We start from the raw sequence: 19,119 nt of genomic DNA, 5'->3' as shown, positions 1-19,119 counted from the left end.
TGCCACTGGCGGCCAACCTCTCCCCTCTCGTGTGGGGATTTTCTTTGCAGAGAAAATTAGAACGGGTTTCTGGAACACTGGCACCCACTTTTCTTTAGGATCACAGCTCCCTGATCTAACTACAAACCAGCACTAGGTTATTGTACTGGAAGGGCCATCGACTGATGGGAAATAACTGCTTGACCAACATATTCATCCATTTATTAAGGACATGTTATTTTCCATGGTGACTTTGATAATGAATGCACTGAATATTTATCTAATATGAATCCACTGTGGGCACTAATCCATACGAATCAACACAGATGATGACAAGAGACAGGAAAAATAATTCTCTTCTGGCATTTACCTTTTGGAATGGCAGCATTCAGAGGGCCAGCCCTTGACAACAGCCTATTTTTTTTTTTTTTTTTTTTTTTTTTTTTGAGACGGAGCCTTGCTCTGTCACTAGGCTGGAGCACAGTGGTGCAATCTCGGCTCACTACAACCTCCACCTCCTGGTTCAAGCGATCCTCCAGCCTCAGCCTCCCGAGTAGCTGGGACTATAGGTGTGCACCACCATGCCCAGCTAATTTTTGTATATTTAGTAGAGACGGGGTTTCACCATGTTGGCCAGGATGGTCTAGATCTCTTGACCTTGTGATCTGCCCGCCTTGGCCTCCCAAAATGAGCCACCATGCCCGCATGCCCGTCCTTTTTTTTTTTTTTTTTTCAACTTATCACCTTCTAGTTGTTCGTTACGGTTTTCTAGCCGTGGGCCAATTCCTTTAAGAATCTACTCCACCATTGAGCACTCAAAGGTTTTTTATTTTGTTTTCTCAGTGTAAGCAACAGCAATTTCATTGCTTAAAAATAACAAAAGTTGCCACCAGGAAGACACCAGATTAGGAAGTTCTCCTTCCTTCTTGTGATGGCTTTTGTAAGATCCTGAGTCCTCGTCACTGCTTTCCGGCTGGTACACTTCAGACCCCTTGGCTGACATCTCGACTGTGCCCTACCCAGCAGTCTGGTACCCACCCTGCTATCCCCAAAGGAGCACAGATTTAATGCCTTCCCACCAGTTAACTGGTGGGGCGGGAGTTAGGATGAGGGGAGCAGTGACTTGGATCATTATAAAAGAAATAAACCCTAAGTAATGTTTTTAAAAAATTATTATTATTACTTTAGAGATAGGGTCTCACTCTGTCACTTAGGCTGGATTGCAGTGGCGAGATCATGGCTCACCGCAGCCTTGAACTCCTGTGCTCAACCGATCCTCCCACCTCAGCCTCCTAAGTAGCTAGGTCCACAGGCATGCGCACTGCACCTGGCTAATTTTTTTTTCTAGAGATGGGATCTTGCTATGTTGCCCAGGCTGGTCTCCAACTCCTGGCCTCAGGTGACCCTCCTGCCTCGGCCTCCAAAAGTGCTGGGATTACAGGTGTGAACCACCATGCCAGGCCTGAGTAATCGTTTTTGATGTCCAAAGCTTAGTACAACAGAAACTTTTTATTCACCGGGGACTTTACTACCGTTTTCCCTCAACACTAGCCCAACCTGCACACGGAAGAAAAAACTAGCTGCACTCCAGGTCTCCTTTGAGCTCGTTCAGCTGCACTTTCCACCTCTGTCTCACATAGTCAGGGGTCCTATCCAAAGCCCAAAGCCCCTCGGCTAAACAAGCTTCAAATCTCCCACAGACCATCCATCATTCAGTTCTGCTGCCCATTTCATGCCCTTCCCGCCATCCTCCAATTTTCCTTGTGTTCGGTACAACAGGTTCTGGCAGGCTTAGGAATATTTAGGTGTCCCCACATCACCCATGAAGCCGGCCACTGCATGGTGTTGGAAAGACCCTCTAGGAAATGGCCCAGATGAGGAGGTGGGCTTGGTCGAGACCTGGACCAAGAGTTTGACATTGTGAACCTGAACACGGTCTCAGCTTGGGCAGGAACCAGCAGGCCCAAATGCACTGATGCGGGTTTGCCATCAATACGTACTTGTTACATTTTCTCTCTCTCTCAATTATCCACTTGGCTCCCAGGATACTGTTAGCAGTCTTGGTTACTCTCTGGTTGAAAGATTTGCTACCCAACAGGCCCATTATCACTTCCAGGGTAGAGAATTAGCTTTTAAATATGCATTCTGTCATCCTAGCATCTGCTGGTGCCAAGGAGAGATGAGAAGCACCTTGAATTCATGGATATTTTCACCGTAGTATAATTTGAGGCAGTGGAGCAAAGTCTCAGTATTGGTGATCTTGGTTTGGCTACGGATTACATATGTTTTATACTGATGTACTTTTTTGTGTTACCAACGCTGTGGAGTTATGCTACTTAATTTGTGATAGACTCACACATCTGCAGTAATCTCATTTCCTACCCAATTGTTACGACCACTCGGGACAGGGGCCTCATCCTTGTCTTGTTCTAATGTCTAGGCTGCCGCCCAGTGGCTGCCCTAGCTAATTACACATTAGCATGCTAATTGTTCCTCACTGATATTGATACTGAGGTGATATTTCAAAGGTCTCAGCCCAACCAGTGGGAATTGTTTCCTTATTGCTTCTATTCTCTTTTGCTAATGAGGTTGATATCAGACATCACTCCAATCTACTAGGTTATCTTCAGCAAAGACAAGTGTGATAAAAGGGAAAAGATGAATATTATTCAGCCAATAACCTATTGTTGAGGTGTCTTTTACATTTTGGGGGCTTAGCCGTAGTTTTTTGGATAATCCAGATTTTATTCTACTCCCTAATTCCTAGCTCTGATTTCGACCTGGATGATCTGGTAATCATTTAAAAACATCTTTATTTGGATGAGATCCTATAGAATAGATATCTAAAATCCTCCCACCTCTCATCCCCTTTAGAAAAAATCTCTCAAGTTCTATTTCACTTTAAGCATTACAGGCTGCACCTAAAGAATTTTAAGTAATGGAAGTGAGCATTTTCTATTAGATTGATTTGTAAATTTTCCGACTATTTAGGCAAGCCACCTCTCCCCTCAGAGACTCAATTCTCACTTCCATAATTGGGGATAATAATTAATATTCCTGTCTCTCAGGATTGTTATGAGAATTAAATGGTATGAAATGGGAAAGTCTTTTGTTACACTGACCTTCAAATATCTTGTTTCTAGCTCCAGTATTACTGAAAAAGATCCAAGCTGAGATGTTCCCTGAACACTCTGGAAATGTAAAATTAAGCTGCCAATTTGCAGAAATTCATGAAGATTCTACTATCTGCTGGACAAAAGATTCAAAGTCCATAGCCCAAGTGCAGAGAAGGTGCGATGTTTTTCCCTGGTTACTTTTCACAGTTGTTGCTTGTTTATTTCACAACATGGTTGTAAAAAAGAAAAAAGAATAAATTATAGGACGTGAAAAGGAAAATTGAAGCAGAGATTCCACATCCACAATATTAAAAAAGACTAAATATCGGAAGACAAGTGTCTGGATGGGGAAAATGATGGAGGATTCTTGCCCAGGTTTTGCCAGAATTGAGTTCTGGGGTTTTGGGAAGTCACACAACCTTTCACTACATTTTTTAAATCAGGGGAAGGAACATGTCAAATGATATTCTAGTCTGAGGTTCTGTGGTCCTAAGATTAAAGAGCTCTCATCTGTATGTCTGTGAATTTAACTTGGGTGTGTTTTCTGTTTCATAAATTCCCAGTAATCTGATAAAGGTCAAACAAAGCTAAGGAGATGAATAAAAACAACAACAACAGCAATCTATGAGGTTACAGAAAAGTAACAGCTATTGAGGGTGACCAGCAGCCATCACTAAGATGGGAAAACCTGTTTATTTCTGGGTCCCTATGATTTTTATTTTTATTTTTGAGACAAGGTGCTACTCCCATCTCCCAGGCTGGAGTATAGTGGTGCAATCACGGCTCACTGCAGCCTCCACCTCCTGGGCTTAAGTGATCCTCCCACCTCAGCCTCCCGAGTACCTAGGATTACTGGAGCACACCACCATGCTTGGCTAATTTTCTTTTGTATTTTTAGTAGAGACAGGGTTTTGCCACATTGCCCAGGCTGGTCTTGAACTCCTGGCCTCAAGTGATCCACCTGCCTCAGCCTCCCAAAGTGCTGGGATTACAGGAGTGACCCACTGCGTCCAGCCATGTCCTTAAGATAATAAAGGAGAGAAGAATGAGGAGGCAAGAGATGAGCGTGAGAATCATTGCCAAGAATATCCCCTGTGGAATAAACCTGATTACTGGCTTCCTTAAGCAGCTTTTCTTGGCAATAAATGCTTGTTCAAGTGAACTGATGAATTCAAGCTTCATCTGACACAATCTAGAAACAAATCACCTGGTTCAAAAGTCAACCCTCTGCCAAAGGGTTCCCAGTTTAGCTCCCTAAGAAATGGGAGGGGTTCCAATCCCCTTAATTTTGTCACCAGTAGACTGAAAAAGTGAGAAAATCTGAGTTTTCTGTTTAATTAAATCATATATGTCTGCTTGGAACATATGTCTGGAAACTATTTCTCAAATGTAATCATGGAATACTTGAGCTATGATTTCATTTCTACTAACATCACTCCAGAGCATCTAACTGGATTGTAATTGATAGCATAACCACTTTGCCTAAAATGTCACCATTACCCTGCCTGTCTTAGGTATGGCTTAAGAATTATTATAAAGGAAAAGAAATGGTTTGCTTTTTAAGTCAAGGAGGTTCCCTAGAGCTTCACTTAAAAAGGTACTAATTATTCATTTTAAATTATTTTCTGAAGCTGTCAGCCAAGAGCAATTAACCAGTATTTTCACTGTTTTTCCATTCATCAGCCTTGCTCTGAGCTCAGAATTACCACTTGAATATTTGCGGGTCCCTTTTCCATTTGATGTGTATTTACGATAAACCTAACCTTCCCCTGGGGAGCATATGTCATTAGTAAGCATTCTACTTACTGATGACGCGTGGCTAAGGCCTTTGATTCCTAGTGATGTTTGCTTCATTTCTCCTTGGTGACAGTGTCTGGCTTAGTTGAACCCATTTGCTTTCTCCATGCTAACACTTGAGAATATTTAAGAGTTATAATTCATTTGTTTATTGAGAGATCATTTATATTATTTCAAGTGGGTTTTCAAATGTTTGCTAATTTCTCTCATGCCTACTTCCAGTCCAGCGTTTCCCTTCATTTGTGCCTCCATGAAATATGTCACTGTCTTGTATCATTTTCAAAGAGTTGAAATCTCTCAAATATAATATGAACGTGGAGCAAAGGTCTTCTTGAACTTACTAAATCATGAGGGAACCTGTACAATGGCAAGAGTTGTTCAAAGGAGCATTTGAGGAATGAAGATTTAGATAGTCCATCAGGCAAAGGAATGCGGAAATACATTTTGAAATAGATATAAAACTGGTTAATGTTTGACAGGTAATAAACTTTGGGAGTTATCTTTTCTACTGCACAGAAACCTAAAAGTTAACCTGTAACTTAAAGTGTCTGAGTGGGTTCTGTGTAAATGGGAAATAGCAAAGCATTCTCTTTCACTAGATCATCCTCAATGATCCTGTTGAACAATGACTGTGATCCTCTTCCTTTGTCCGCAAGTTTTGGGTACTTTCCTTAACAGGCTAAAGCGTGGAAATTAGGTGTCAGAAGACTTTCTTGTGGGTAGGGCAAGACTAATATACTTCGAAGAAACCAAGAAGAAGAAAGTGGTAGCTTGGTTTGAGTCTCTGTGTAGCAGTGGCATGTCTTGGCTTCATGGAGACCTCAAGGTGGCACCCTCTGGTGCTATTTGGCCATCAGTACCTTCTTGGTAACCAGGAACCCATTCTCCACTCTGGGGAGAGAGGTCCTTCTGAGTTCCCTGGGCTTTTGAAAGGGCAGCTGTCCACGTAGAGCGGCCCTACTGATAGCTGAGCAAGGTCATGGAGCACAGGTCATGTTGTTCCCGCTGGGAACCAGTGGATGAGGAGCTGGCTGCTGGGATGGGAGGATCTCCTTGGATGGCCCTGGGAGAAACAACCCGAGGACTTCTCAGCCCAGACTGAGTGGTGGGTGGGGGTGCTGCCAAGCCCTGGCTCCTTAGGGCTGGTGATGGATGATGGGATCTCTCAGAGAAGTCCCCATGCTAAGTACCCTCTCCCTGCAGCCAACTTCACTCTTTGTGTTCTTCTGATCACACTCTGGACATGGGCTTCTTTTGCATTTGTCTGCACAGCTAATCACCACTGCTGTTCTGCTGTCTGTAGCCATTTCCTAAGGTAAAAAGATTTGTCCCTTACAGGGTAAGAGGATATGAAACTGAACTTACCCTCTTGGTTAAAAAAGGCACAAGATCACTTGTTACTGCTTTCTACAGCTGTATTGGTATTTTCTGTTTGTCCATTTCCTCCCAGACTAGAAGACCCTCAAGGGCAAGGACTGTGCCTTTTTTTTTTTTTTTTTTTCTTTTTCATCATTGAATCCCCCAGTACTAAGCACAGAGCAGATACTCCACAAATGTTGGATAGAACTCTTTGGGACTTCCGAGGTAGTTTTGTATCATGGAGAAAGCACACTAATACTACTGTTCCCCACTAATACTACTGCTCACCACGAAGTAATGACTCGTGACCACGCTCAAGACTGGGCTTTTCGCTGAAGCTTCACACGCCGGTGTCATGACACGTTACTCCTCATGACACATCTGAGCGGTGATCTTGCTCATTCTGCTTTCACAGAGGAGGAAATTGAGGGTGACAGGCTACATAGCACACCTGAGGTCGGCCTCAGGGTTGGGATCCAGACCTTTCTGACTCCTACATGTATTCCTTCTAGAAGAAAGCCTTGGGTGGGGACCATGGGCCAAGCCAGGAAAAACGGTCTTCGTGGTTCTGGGCCAAGTATCAGAGAATTTCTAGGCTGGAAGGAAGATGTTCACAGGACAGTTCTAGTTCAGCCCCCAGCCCTTCGGGTAGCCCTTGCCTTCCCCTTTCAATGACAGAAAGGCTGTGCCAATCCTAGAGCCTTGGAGAAGGACTTTCCACAAGCCTCCTCTGTGGCCCACTCTGTGTTTTACTGCCCTGTCCGGAAGTCTTCCCCTTATAACTGGACTTGTTCACATCCAGTTTTAACCATACAGTGGGATATGTTCAGAGACCCCAGGAATGAAGGAAGTAGAATGGTTTAGTGAACTTTGTTTTAAGCCACTGGTATATTCCAGGGAAGGAATGTATATATTGGAGGCTTGAAGTCTATTGAAAAACCAACCAATAATGAACACTGTTTTTGAACATGCAACTGAGACAAACTCAAGCTAGGTGAATTTTTGTTGTTAAACTATGAAACGAACCCAAGCTAAAATGTACACCACACACATGTATACACATACATACACAGAATCTTGGTGAATGTTTAAACAAAGTTCATTTTAAAGAACAAAACCAGAACAACGTCTGAATATCCTTTTTTTTTTTTTTTTTTTGCTGTAGAGTAAGTTTTTTGTTTGAGACTTTGGAATAAATATGTGGCTCTCCCTATGTTTCAAATTATCCCAGACTTGAGGGCGGGAACCATAATTTACTTGGGGAGGCAGCTTAATGAAGTCAAAATCATTTGCTTAAATTTTTCTATGCCTCAGTTTCCTCATCTGCAAACTGAGAATAGTAAACATAGTTCTCTCATTAGGTTGTTCTGAGGGCATCATGAAATTGATCTTTATGTGATTTGGCACAATGCCTGGTACATACCAAATGCTCAGTGCACATTAGCTATTGGCATCATCATCACTGTCATCATCACCACCAATATGACCACCACCACCAGTTTTAGTTTTCATAGCACAGTGACCGGAACTTAATAATTTTGGGTGAGTGAATGGTTCGATGGTTGGTACCTCACTAGGGGAGTACAGGACACTATTACAAAGGGGCCCTCAGTCACGAATCCTTATGTAGCATAAAGCTAAGAACCCCGTTTTCTCTTGTCCCTTATTGTATCTGTATAAGTTTGGGTTTGGAGTTATCAGACTTTCCTTCAAGCACAGGACACCCGGATTAGTCACATAATTGAGCTGAATTCTGAGCAGAAATGTTAACAACAGCTCCCAGAATTCACAATTTCAATTCTTTGCTCTACTCATGGCAGTTAAACCTACTGCTTATTGGAGTGAGCGTGTTAGCCAAAATGTAATGACTCTCCTCTGTGGATAAATCAATTATTTAAACAGCTGATCGTGATTTTGCCCTTTGGGCAGCTCACTGGCTGAAAACATGTGAGCAGGGAAGTCTTAGCTTCTTTCTCCTTAAGTATATTAGGAAAAAATGCAACTGTAGAATGATGAAGTGTGTCAATGTGAATATTCCTCATTGCAGTGCAGGGGACAACTCCACTGTTTCCTTTGCCATCGTGCAAGCCAGTCCGAAGGACCAGGGACTCTATTACTGCTGCATCAAGAACAGCTACGGAAAAGTGACTGCTGAATTTAACCTCACAGCTGAAGGTAAACCACAGTTTTCAATGAAAAACCACTGGCCCCTGCCCGTTCACAATGGACATCTGTACTGAAGCCATTCTCTGCTTTGTCTTCTTCTAGTTCTCAAACAGCTGTCAAGTCGCCAGGATACTAAAGGTAAGTCAGTTAGGGTTGACCTGCCAGAGGAAATGGGCTTACTGTAAAGCATAAAATAGCTCCCAGAGGAAAGAGTAGAAGCAGTAATCCTCTGGACTCTTCCAACCGAGAAGGAGAGCTATGGCGTGACTTAAGAAATGAATGCCATCAGAGAAATGCAAATCAAAACCACAATGAGATACCATCTCACACCAGTTAGAATGGCGATCATTAAAAAGTCAGGAAACAACAGGTGCTGGAGAGGATGTGGAGAAATAGAAACACTTTTACACTGTTGGTGGGACTGTAAACTAGTTCAACCATTGTGGAAGTCGGTGTGGTGATTCCTCAGGGATCTAGAACTAGAAATACCATTTGACCCAGCCATCCCATTACTGGGTATATACCCAAAGGACTATAGATCATGCTGTTATAAAGACACATGCACACGTATGTTTATTGAGGCACTATTCACAATAGCAAAGACTTGGAACCAACCCAAATATCCAACAATGATAGACTGGATTAAGAAAATGTGGCACATATACACCATGGAATACTATGCAACCATAAAAAATGATGAGTTCATGTCCTTTGTTAGGGACATGGATGAAATTGGAAATCATCATTCTCAGTAAACTATCGCAAGGACAAAAAACCAAACACCGCATGTTCTCACTCATAGATGGGAATTGAACAATGAGAACACATGGACACAGGAAGGGGAACATCACACTCTGGGGACTGTTGTGGGGTGGGGGGAGGGGGGAGGGTTAGCATTAGGAGATATACCTAATGCTAAATGACGAGTTAATGGGTGCAGCACACCAGCATGGCACATGTATACATATGTAACTAACCTGCACATTGGGCACATGTACCCTAAAAGTATAATTAAAAAAAAATCAGAAAAAAAAAAGAGAAAGAAATGACAATTCATGAGCCAATTCAAAGTGAATGTAGGGCCATACTTCCTATTGTAAGTTCATTAGACTACAGATATCCAGAATTGGATGCTACACTGTAGCAGTGGAGTTTTGGGGAACACGTAGAGGGGGAGTTTGGATTTGACTTTTCCCTTTAAGCATCGGTCTTGCATTCAGCCCTTCTGCATGGGATTTTTCAGCTACTGGGACTTATTACAGCTTGTTTTGTTTGTTCAATTTTCCTTTCAGTTTGACTAGCTGAGCAGATTCCCAAAGACAGCCAGGTGTCTGAAGGATCACTCCATTCGTTTGTGTCTTAAGGAAAACAAAAGATGGGTTTCTCTGCTTTCTTTTGGCACCTGGTGTTAGCCACAGCCTAACACTGCTGCTCATGAATGCTCGTGATGTCCCCGGGCCTCCCACTGAGTTTTCCACAGTTTGGTGGAATCTGTGTTTGCCGTGTCTTCCCTCTTAAGGAGAATTACTCACCCACCTACGCCCACCCATGCCCACCCTTGCCTGGTGGTGTGCTGGGGTAAATATTTAACAACATGCTGAGGGTTGGGGAAGTTCTGAGTCCTACAATTTCCATGATGTAAATACTCTCAGTGTGGCCACTCTTAAACCACCAGTGTGACATCACACATCATGGGACTGGGAAGAGCCGCCCGTCATCAGCTCTCAGGAGCTGCAGAAGGCCAGCTCCACATACCACGGTGGTCCAGCCTCACCCCATGTGATCATGACTTTCAGCACAGGGGAGGATCCACGGTCAGTTTTAGGAGAAATTGGATAAATTCTGACAGTTAATTGAACTAGCATCTTAAAGATTTACTGCATGTACTGAGTTTTAAAACAAACAGAACGCCTGAAATCTCTGCAGAAACAGGTAATAAAAGTAATCAAAATGCAGTCACATCCAGTGTATCAAAAGTAAGAAACTGAGATCTCGACTTAGAAATGGTCTAGCAATAGGCCAGGCGCGGTGGCTCACGCCTGTAATCCCAGCACTTTGGAAGGCCGAGGCGAGTGGGATCACGAGGTCAAGAGATCAAGACTATCCTGGCCAACATGGTGAAACCCCGTCTCTACTAAAAATACAAAAATTAGCGCGGCATGGTGGCACGCACCTGTAATCCCAGCTACTCAGGAGGCTGAGGCAAGAGAATGGCTTGAACCAGGGAGGTGGAGGTTGCAGTGAGCTGAGATCACGCCACTGCCCCCCAGCCTGGCGACACAGCAAGACTCCATCTCAAAAAAAAAAAAAAAAAAAGAGAGAGAGAAAGAAAGAAAAAGAAATGGCCTAGCAAATATTGTGATATTAACCCAAAATAGTAAACTTAAATACAAGCTCTTCACAAACCCACTCAGATGCTAAATACCCGTCTTTAGTGTGTAGCATACATGTGTTATAATTTAAAATCCTTCCTCTATTTCTGCTCTCATCTCCCCAGAAGGCAAAATATGCAAAAGAATCCCCTTACTCCTAATACTTCAGAAAATAAGAAGACTCTCAGAAGGGAGTCTCTGTTTCATCAGCTTCTTAGCATTGATTGGCATTCACATCTCAGACACTTGTTAGGTTTCATTGGTTTAGGTGTGCATGAGCTCATTTCTCAAGGATTACTAGTCAGGCGAGAGACCCCAGTGGGGATAAGCTACTGGCCACTTGGTGGAAATGGTACCACCGCTATAGCCCAGTGACTCCAGCCGTAGAGCCTGGGTCTGAACCCTGATGACATCACCTTCTCCCAGCTTCTGGCCCCATTGTGACTGGGGGTGTCAGTTTCACTGACTCACCCGGCTGGGGAAGTAACTCCTGGCCCCTCCCTATCCTTGTACCTTCAGATAAAGAAGCTGAAAATTACTTTTATTTTATTTCTTTGAGACAGGGTCTCACTCTTTCATCCAGGCTGGAGTGCAGTGGCACAATCATAGCTCACTGCAGCCTCGGCCTCCTGGACTCTAATGATCCTCCCACCTAAGCCTCCTGAGTAGCCTGGACTGCAGGTGCTCACCACTGCACCCAGCTGATTTGGAAAATTACTTTTAATCACACTTTTTTTAAATTCAGAGGACTATCTCACTAAACAGTTTATTAATTTAATTCTCTATAGGAGGAATAAATAATCTTTTACAAGATGGTCTCTAATTTAAAAAACTAATAAAGCTAAGCTCATGAGAAAGTTGGAAATGAATGATGGACCAAATGAAGCCCAATTTAATGATGTTATTTTGTTTTATGAATATATTTGTAGATTGCTTTTCTGCACCTCGGAGCAGTCTTTGTAACCAGTGGCTGCAGGTATCCACATGGTTTCTCTGAGTTGAGGATTTGGATTTCACAATGTATGGGTGTAGCAAGGAACCTCAGTGAGGCATTTGAATCTCCCAACACTCATCTGACGAGTCTGTCTGGTGGATTCCAATGAGTCTCTCCTGATTCTTTTTTTTTTTTTTTTTTTTTTTTTTGAGACGGAGTCTCATTCTGTCACCCAGGCTAAAGTGCAATGGCAAGATCTCGGCTCACTGCAACCTCCACCTCCCAAGTTCAAGCAGTTGTCCTGCCTCAGTCTCCCAAGTAGTTGGATTACAGGCACCTGCCACCACACCTGACTAATTTTTTTCTATTTTTAGTAGAGATGGGGTTTCATCATGTTGGCCAGGCTGGTCGGGAACTCCTGACCTCAGGTGATTCACCTGACTTGGCCTCCCAGAGATCTGGGATTACAGGTGTGAACCACCACACCCGGCCTCTCTTGATTCTTTCTCATGGAACTGCCACCTCTCAGGGACTTTGGGCAGCGTGGAGTGTGAGTCCTGGCAACGGATGGCTCTGCAAAGCTGCAAAGAAAATTGCACCTTCTTCACAACCTGAGACTTGCAGTGCTACACTCGTGCTTTTCCTAAGCCTCCCCTCAGGTGCTCAGTTCTCCTGTTACCTTCATTACTCTTACCAGGGAAGAGATTGGTCTAAAGGATGAAGTCTTGCCTCCATCTCTCACTTTAAAAGAGGTGCAAACTCTAACCAAGAGGACGCGCTCATTTCAGCCATCGCTGAGGAAGACAGTTTTGGACAGGCTGTCCTTTCAGATTTCTGCAGAGCTACAGAGTCTATACCTTCTGCTTCTGCAAAGGAAGGCCCAATAGATGAGTTTCAGCTTGGAAAGTTCCACCTAGAACTCCAGCTCTTGCTCTGCAGGATTTTCAAGAGACAAAGAATACGTCTAAGATTTTTTTTTTCTTTCATGTTTTTATCTTTGTCAAATAAGCATTTCTGTTGGAAATTATAGACAGGGTTGTTAATTATACCACGTATGGTACTATACAAACAAATTTTCCTTCCTACTTTCTAAGCATATGGCCTGGACCAACTTTTATCTTCAGTTAATTAGATTTGCTGAATTTTAAAGCATAGGGTGCACAAGCTTTTTACTTTTAATAATTAAATTTTAGAAATGTGAGGATTTTGAAGGAAGACAGGATATGGCAGATATAATACATGTTTATTGGGCTCTGGTGTATGTACATATAACATTTCCTATACTCTGTTAGTGGTATTAGAGGCCAAATTGTTAAAATTAATCATATAACTAGAATGAAACTGAGAAGGTTTGGGATACAGAAAAGCATTCCCTCTATTTTCTCACCTAATTTTTAAATTTAACTGTTAAAATAAAACTGTGCTTTTCTCCATCAATTAATTTTTTTCCTGGTTCCGTTACTTAGAGTAAAATCTGTGACCCAGCTATTGCCTAAAACTTTATCTGAGAAAATGTCCCATTTGCCTGTTTTCCTGCAGCTCCAACCCAGTTCTCTCCAGAAACCTAGGACAGGTTACTCAGTAGGAGTTATTGGGGAAGAAAAATAATTTATTCTTCAGTCCTCATAAGTTCTTAGTTGGAACAGATCCCTGTAACAAAAGATTAATGAGAGAAATCAAACAAGTTTATGAACATGTATAATTCATATATACATGGGAGATACTCCAGAAGTGCTCATTTAAGAAGGGGTTTGAATTCCAGCTTATACAGCATCTACAACAAAGAATGGTGCATTTTTAGAGAAGTGACAGGGCAGAGGGAAGGACTTTGAGTAGGTAAGGGCAGTAGCTTGTGGAAAGGCATTTCCACAGCCCTGGAAAATCTCCCAGCATCTGGATTCTCATTAATGCTTGTTAATGGCTGGTGTCCATCTCCAGGCCCATCAGGGTCTAAAGTTGTCTTCAGTCATTAACCTTTGTTCTTCCTGGTAGAAGGGGGAGTAGAATATTTTTTGTCTTTATAAATTTATGTCCTGATTTTAGGCAAATAGAGGGAAGGCAGAGAGCTTTCTTGCCTCTGCTTCTTCTTAATTACCTTCAGCTCAACAATGCTTTTACCAAAGAGGCAGATTTGAGGGTGGCATATTCAGGGGTCCCATAGTCTTCTGCTAGCCTTTGTGAAAATGCTAGGAGCACCTTTAGGAATATCCTCTTTCTTCAAGCAGATTCTAGCTCTTCACCTAGTTTTTCTGTTTGAAAATCCACCAAACCCCACTCCCTTTCTTTCTTTCTGGCAGTAATTAGGCCGAGACCTTAATCAATACCCGATCAGAATAGTTTCAGTCTCCTTATAGTTTTAATAGCTACCATCAGTCTCAAATCGTATGATTTTAAATATTTTGAAAAGAAGAGAAAAATATTTCCTGAAGCATGTATATAGAAATGTGAAGTAAGATTTTTCACACAACCCATGATCTCTTTCTTCTTGTAAACATTCAGAAAGATGTCAGTTTTCATCAGTTTTGAGAAGTGGAAAGGATTTAAAAATCCAAACAATCTTATTTCATTGAAAGCCACCTAATTTTCTTCTCTCAGTGAATGAGAAGTCTGATTGGGTCATCTCTAGTTTAAAGTGGACCTTCCTGATTAAATTCACTGTCATCTCAAACATGTGTAGAATCCACTCTGCAAAAAAAAACAGCTGTTAGAAAACTTAAAATAATTCTACTTTTCTTTTTACAAATAAATGCAAAATAATTCTACCTTTTTTTCGATTTCTCTTCAAAGGCAATTCTTTTTATTATTTTTTTGTTTTGTTTATTGCTACCTGTTTCCTATACTTATCACATGCTTTCTCAATGGAGGCAGTATTGCTACCAAGAGGACCAACATTGGTTCTTGGGAGGCAAAAAAAAAGTTACTCTTTTTCTGTATAAAGAACAAATATACATATGGTACATAAACAGATAGTATATTTGTGGTATTAAACTTTCATGGCAGGCAATTAAAACAAATTCCAGCAAAGATTCCGTGGTTGCGGGGGGTGGGGGGCAATAATGAAAGAAAGGTTGGTCCGATATTATCAGATCTTATCATTGGTCTTTCTTCCCTCCTCTACACTTTTCCCATCTTTTCAACTTGACTTTTGTTACTTTGCTTGGTTCCACTTATATTTTCCAGATCTGTCTAGAATTCTTTTCCTGATCTTTCCAGTTTTGCTCCAACCCATCCCTGATGTTCCCACATTCTCATTCAATGACCTGTCTCCTCCTCACCAAACCACTCATCTCTTCTTTTAGCTATGCCTCTTTTGAAGGGTTAAGTGTGTCTGCCCCCTCTTGGTTCTGCAGGTCAGCCTTGTCATTGTCCTTATGTGGGGACCCTCCCCATGTGGAGTTAGCCAAGGAGCAGGACTGGGAGGTATTCTTTCCAACCAAAGCTGTGCTGTGTTTCAGGATGTGAAGAGATTGAATTCAGCCAACTCATCTTCAAAGAAGACTTCCTCCATGACAGCTACTTTGGGGGCCGCCTGCGTGGTCAGATCGCCACGGAGGAGCTGCACTTTGGAGAAGGGGTTCACCGCAAAGCCTTCCGCAGCACAGTGATGCACGGCCTCATGCCTGTCTTCAAACCTGGCCATGCCTGTGTGCTTAAGGTGCACAATGCCATTGCCTATGGGACCAGAAATAATGATGAGCTCATCCAAAGGAACTACAAACTCGCTGCCCAGGTGGGTCCATCTGCCCAAAGGCTGTCACTTCTGGTGTGAGAACCACCCATGATAAGACGAGATGAAAATCAGACTCAGGATTGATGGGAATATCTTCAAAAGGGTGTTTTTCCTCTTTTGGGGTTTCAATTCAATCTCAATGCTGGGGATCACTTCTCAATTCTCGGGAGTAATTTCTTGGCCTTATGCCAGCTACTGGGGACTCAGCCAATGCCTAGAGACACCTCACCAGTTCTAACCCGAGATATAATTGATTTTGTTTCTAAGAAGCCCTATGACATCCCTGGCGGTTTGAGTCTACTTGGACCTAGGATGATATGGAAAGTGGGGGTTCTAAGCTACACTAGATGCCAGGGTCTCCAGGAACAGATAACATCAGCACTAGTTGCTGGAGTGTTTTGTTTGGTTTTGTTTTGTGGAGAGGGAGAGGGGTGGGGTATACCCAGAAGGGTCAGCATTGGTCTTGTTTTCTGCCTTCCTGAGTTTGGTTTAATGGTAGTGTATAAAATATAGGAAGAGAGACAGACCCAAGTCTCTAGCTGAGTTCCCACTTCTCTGTGTTATTGAGTCATAGAACTCGAGGTGAGAGGATAGGGCAGGAGAGCCTTAGCTTCTCTCGCTCCTTCCTCCTCCTATCCACATATTTGGTCCATATATTTCACTCCGTCTTTTTTTTTTTTTCTTTTTTGAGACAGTGTCTCACTCTTTCCCCCAGGCTGGAGTACAGTGGCATGATCACGGCTCCACAGCAGTCTCGGCCTCCTGGCCTTAAGCAACCCTCCTGCCTCAGCCTCCCAAGTAGCTAGGACTACAGGCGCATGCCATCACGCCCAACTAATTTTTATTTTTTTTTTCAGAGACAGGGTCTCCCTATGTTGCCCAGGCTGGTCTTGACCTCCTGGAGGGTTCCAAGTGATCCTCCTGCCTCTGCCTCCCAAAGTGCTGGGATTACAGGCATGAATCACCACACCTGGTCCACATATTTCACTGTTTACACCGGCACTGGTGTAGCTGTCAAGAAAGTTGGGTCTTTCACCAGCTCTGTGCCCCTTTAAAATGTTTACCATAAACATCTAAAACAATTAAAACATTTAAAATATTAAAATCCATAGGTTAAACTTAGATGAATCTCTCAGGTACAGTCAAGCATTAAGCATCGTGATCCTGCGGCACTGCCACGTGGGACTTTGTGCTTCTGAAGGCAGCCTTGCTCTCTGAATATAGTGTTCTGCCCATTGTATTCCTTTCTTCTCCCAATCCACTCTGCTTTTTTCTTTTCTCTCTCAGTATTCCCTCCATCTCAAATATGACACAGTCTTGGAAAACCTCCCAGCATCTGGATTCTTGCTCAGAAAAGCCCCACAGCATAGGATGCAGAATCCACTTAGCTTTTCCTAAGGCAGAAATCCTGTGCTGTTCATTATTGACTACTCCAATTACACCTTTGAAAAGGGTTTGCAATGGCAGATCTCACAGGAAACCCAGTAGTGCCCCAAGTGCCACCTGATGACGTGATGAGGGGCCAGTCCCCTTAGTTCTGGGGTGAATTTCGGCCCTGCCGGCTCGAGAAATTTTATAGTTCAGGGACACCTGGTCCTGGAGACCACTTGATCTCCACCCGGACAGTTCCTTGACGTCTCAGAGCTCCTCCCTAAGTGGCCAACTCTAGGTTCTAATAATCGTTGCCTCTGTGACCCCAACCAGGGGATGGGCTTGTCAGTTCATTGGCTTTACCTTACTGGGAAATCTCCTGAATAGTCTTACTGGGCAATACTGTCTGAATTTCCTGTAGTCACTGGGGCTTTCTATGTATTTTGGCGATATAGGAATGCTATGTTCAAAATACTGCCAGGTATTATGCCAAGATCTACGCTGCTGAAGCACAGCCTCTGGAAGGCTTTGGAGAAGTACCTGAGTAAGTGTGTTTACCCTGCCTTGTGTCACACTCCTGACTCGTTGGGGACTAGGAGGGACGAGAGAGTGAGAAGGAACAGTAGGGCAAGTGTTTCAGCTGATCTCTCAGTCTGTAAGCTCCATGAGGGCTCACACGGCTGCTATCCTACCCCTTGCTGGGTAGGATATTTAATATTATATAATATAATAATATTATATTTAATATTTAAGAAGATAAATATTCTTTAAATAAATGAATGGATGGATGGATGGGTGTATGGATTAATCCAGCCAATAAATGAATCTACCATGTTAAATAGAAAAGAAAGGATATCTACTCTCATAGCTATTACATTGTCTAAACAGTAAGCAAATAGAACAGAACAAGAGATATCACAAGGCGATTAGTCCCATGATGAAAATAAAATATGGCAATGTAATAGGGAAGAGTGGATTGGGTGATCAGAAACATAGTAACATAGTACCTGCTTCCTGGAATCCTCCAGAGATAAATCACACCCACTTTTATCTGCTCTTTGCCTAAATATTTACTGGCCCAAGCAAATTTTGGGGAGCCTGGAGCTTGTGTTTGCAGCTCTGTTTTGTCTGGTTGAGATCATATTTGCATGCTTAAATGGACAGAAAAAGGGCTTAGCTAGTGCATGTTGGAACTTTCAGACAGAGCAGCTATTTACCTATGAGTAAAAACTGGGAGAAGGAAGAAGGAAGAAATTCTTGTCTGCATTGCACCTGTTAACTCACAAAATGGGAAAAATAGTTTCCCTTGGGTGGTACATTTGGAAGACCATGTGTAAAGTATAACACTTTCTGCTCTTTCTCAAGAAATGCTTAACACACTTCAGTACCCACTTACAATTGCTTTTCTGTTAATTACACAGACAGCCATCTGGACTGAGTTAAGCTTTCATGATATGGGAACTGGCTCCTTTTTTCCCCAAGCCCCGCTCTTCCCAGTGTCTGTCCTCTTAAGTTTTCTTCAAAAAAGAAAAGATTTAACCCACAAGTCAACCCTACCACACACAGAACCACAGTGCCCTCCAGCAGGGACAGACCCAAGTTTTGTGTGGCTTGACTCTTATGCAATTTGGGCTTCTTTCTTTCCTTTCTGTTTTATTTTTTTTAAGAGACATGGTCTCCCTCTGTTGTCCAGGCTGGAGGGCAGTGGTGCAATCACGGCTCACTGCAGCCTTGACCTCCCGGGCTCAAGTGATCCAGCCTCCAAAGTAACTGGGACTACAGGTGCTCACCACCACACCTGGCTAATTAAAAAAAATTTTCTCGTAGAGACAGGGTCTCTGTATGTTGCCCAGGCTGGCCTACAACTCCTGGCCTCAAGTGATCTTCCTGCCTCGGCCTCCCAGAGTGCTGGCGTTATAGGCATGAGCCACCATGCCTGGCAAATTTGGGTCCTTTTTAAAGAAAAGAACACAAAATTGTAAATAATTGATCTAGGGACTTGGAAAGGGCTCATGCAAGTGAAGGATCAGGAGGCTGATTCATTTGCTGCATTAGCATCACAGTAAATAGGCCACTGCCTTAAAGATAGGTTAGGACATTTTTCTATCTAAACCACTTTCCCATTCCTTACAAGGGGACAGTTTGTGACCACATGAATGCTGACGGTACATGGGAGGAGTAAGGGGCCTCAGAAGGGCCTCTGGGCCAGACTCCATGTTTATGGAACCTAAATCAGAGGACTCCACAGCCAAAAAACACACATACACACCCCCTACACAAACAACACTCACCATA

At 42.9% G+C, this 19,119-nt stretch overlaps 1 protein-coding gene across 1 annotated transcript in view, besides 2 other annotated features; it reads left to right on the top strand.

Annotated features, from left to right (window-relative positions):
• ALPK2 (alpha kinase 2) overlaps positions 1–19,119 on the top strand; it is a 147,845-nt gene that overhangs the window by 96,731 nt on the left and 31,995 nt on the right. Inside the window, exons 6-10 of the mRNA NM_052947.4 lie at positions 3,123–3,270; positions 8,299–8,426; positions 8,520–8,555; positions 15,179–15,453; positions 17,280–17,368. Of these exons, the coding sequence (NP_443179.3) occupies positions 3,123–3,270; positions 8,299–8,426; positions 8,520–8,555; positions 15,179–15,453; positions 17,280–17,368 (676 nt within the window). The remainder of the gene's footprint in view (positions 1–3,122; positions 3,271–8,298; positions 8,427–8,519; positions 8,556–15,178; positions 15,454–17,279; positions 17,369–19,119) is intronic.
• Positions 6,214–6,293: a silencer, noted in NCBI's record as "silent region_9486". NCBI's record gives its function as "represses an Ori minimal core promoter by ATAC-STARR-seq in GM12878 lymphoblastoid cells {active_cell/tissue: GM12878}" and the evidence as "EXISTENCE:reporter gene assay evidence [ECO:0000049][PMID:35858748]".
• Positions 11,163–11,312: an enhancer, noted in NCBI's record as "active region_13388". NCBI's record gives its function as "activates an Ori minimal core promoter by ATAC-STARR-seq in GM12878 lymphoblastoid cells {active_cell/tissue: GM12878}" and the evidence as "EXISTENCE:reporter gene assay evidence [ECO:0000049][PMID:35858748]".

The sequence above is a fragment of the Homo sapiens genome, chromosome 18 (assembly GCF_000001405.40).
Source record: "Homo sapiens chromosome 18, GRCh38.p14 Primary Assembly".
In the NCBI taxonomy this organism is placed as follows: Eukaryota; Metazoa; Chordata; class Mammalia; order Primates; family Hominidae; genus Homo; species Homo sapiens.
This window is presented reverse-complemented; position numbering and strand designations above follow the sequence as displayed.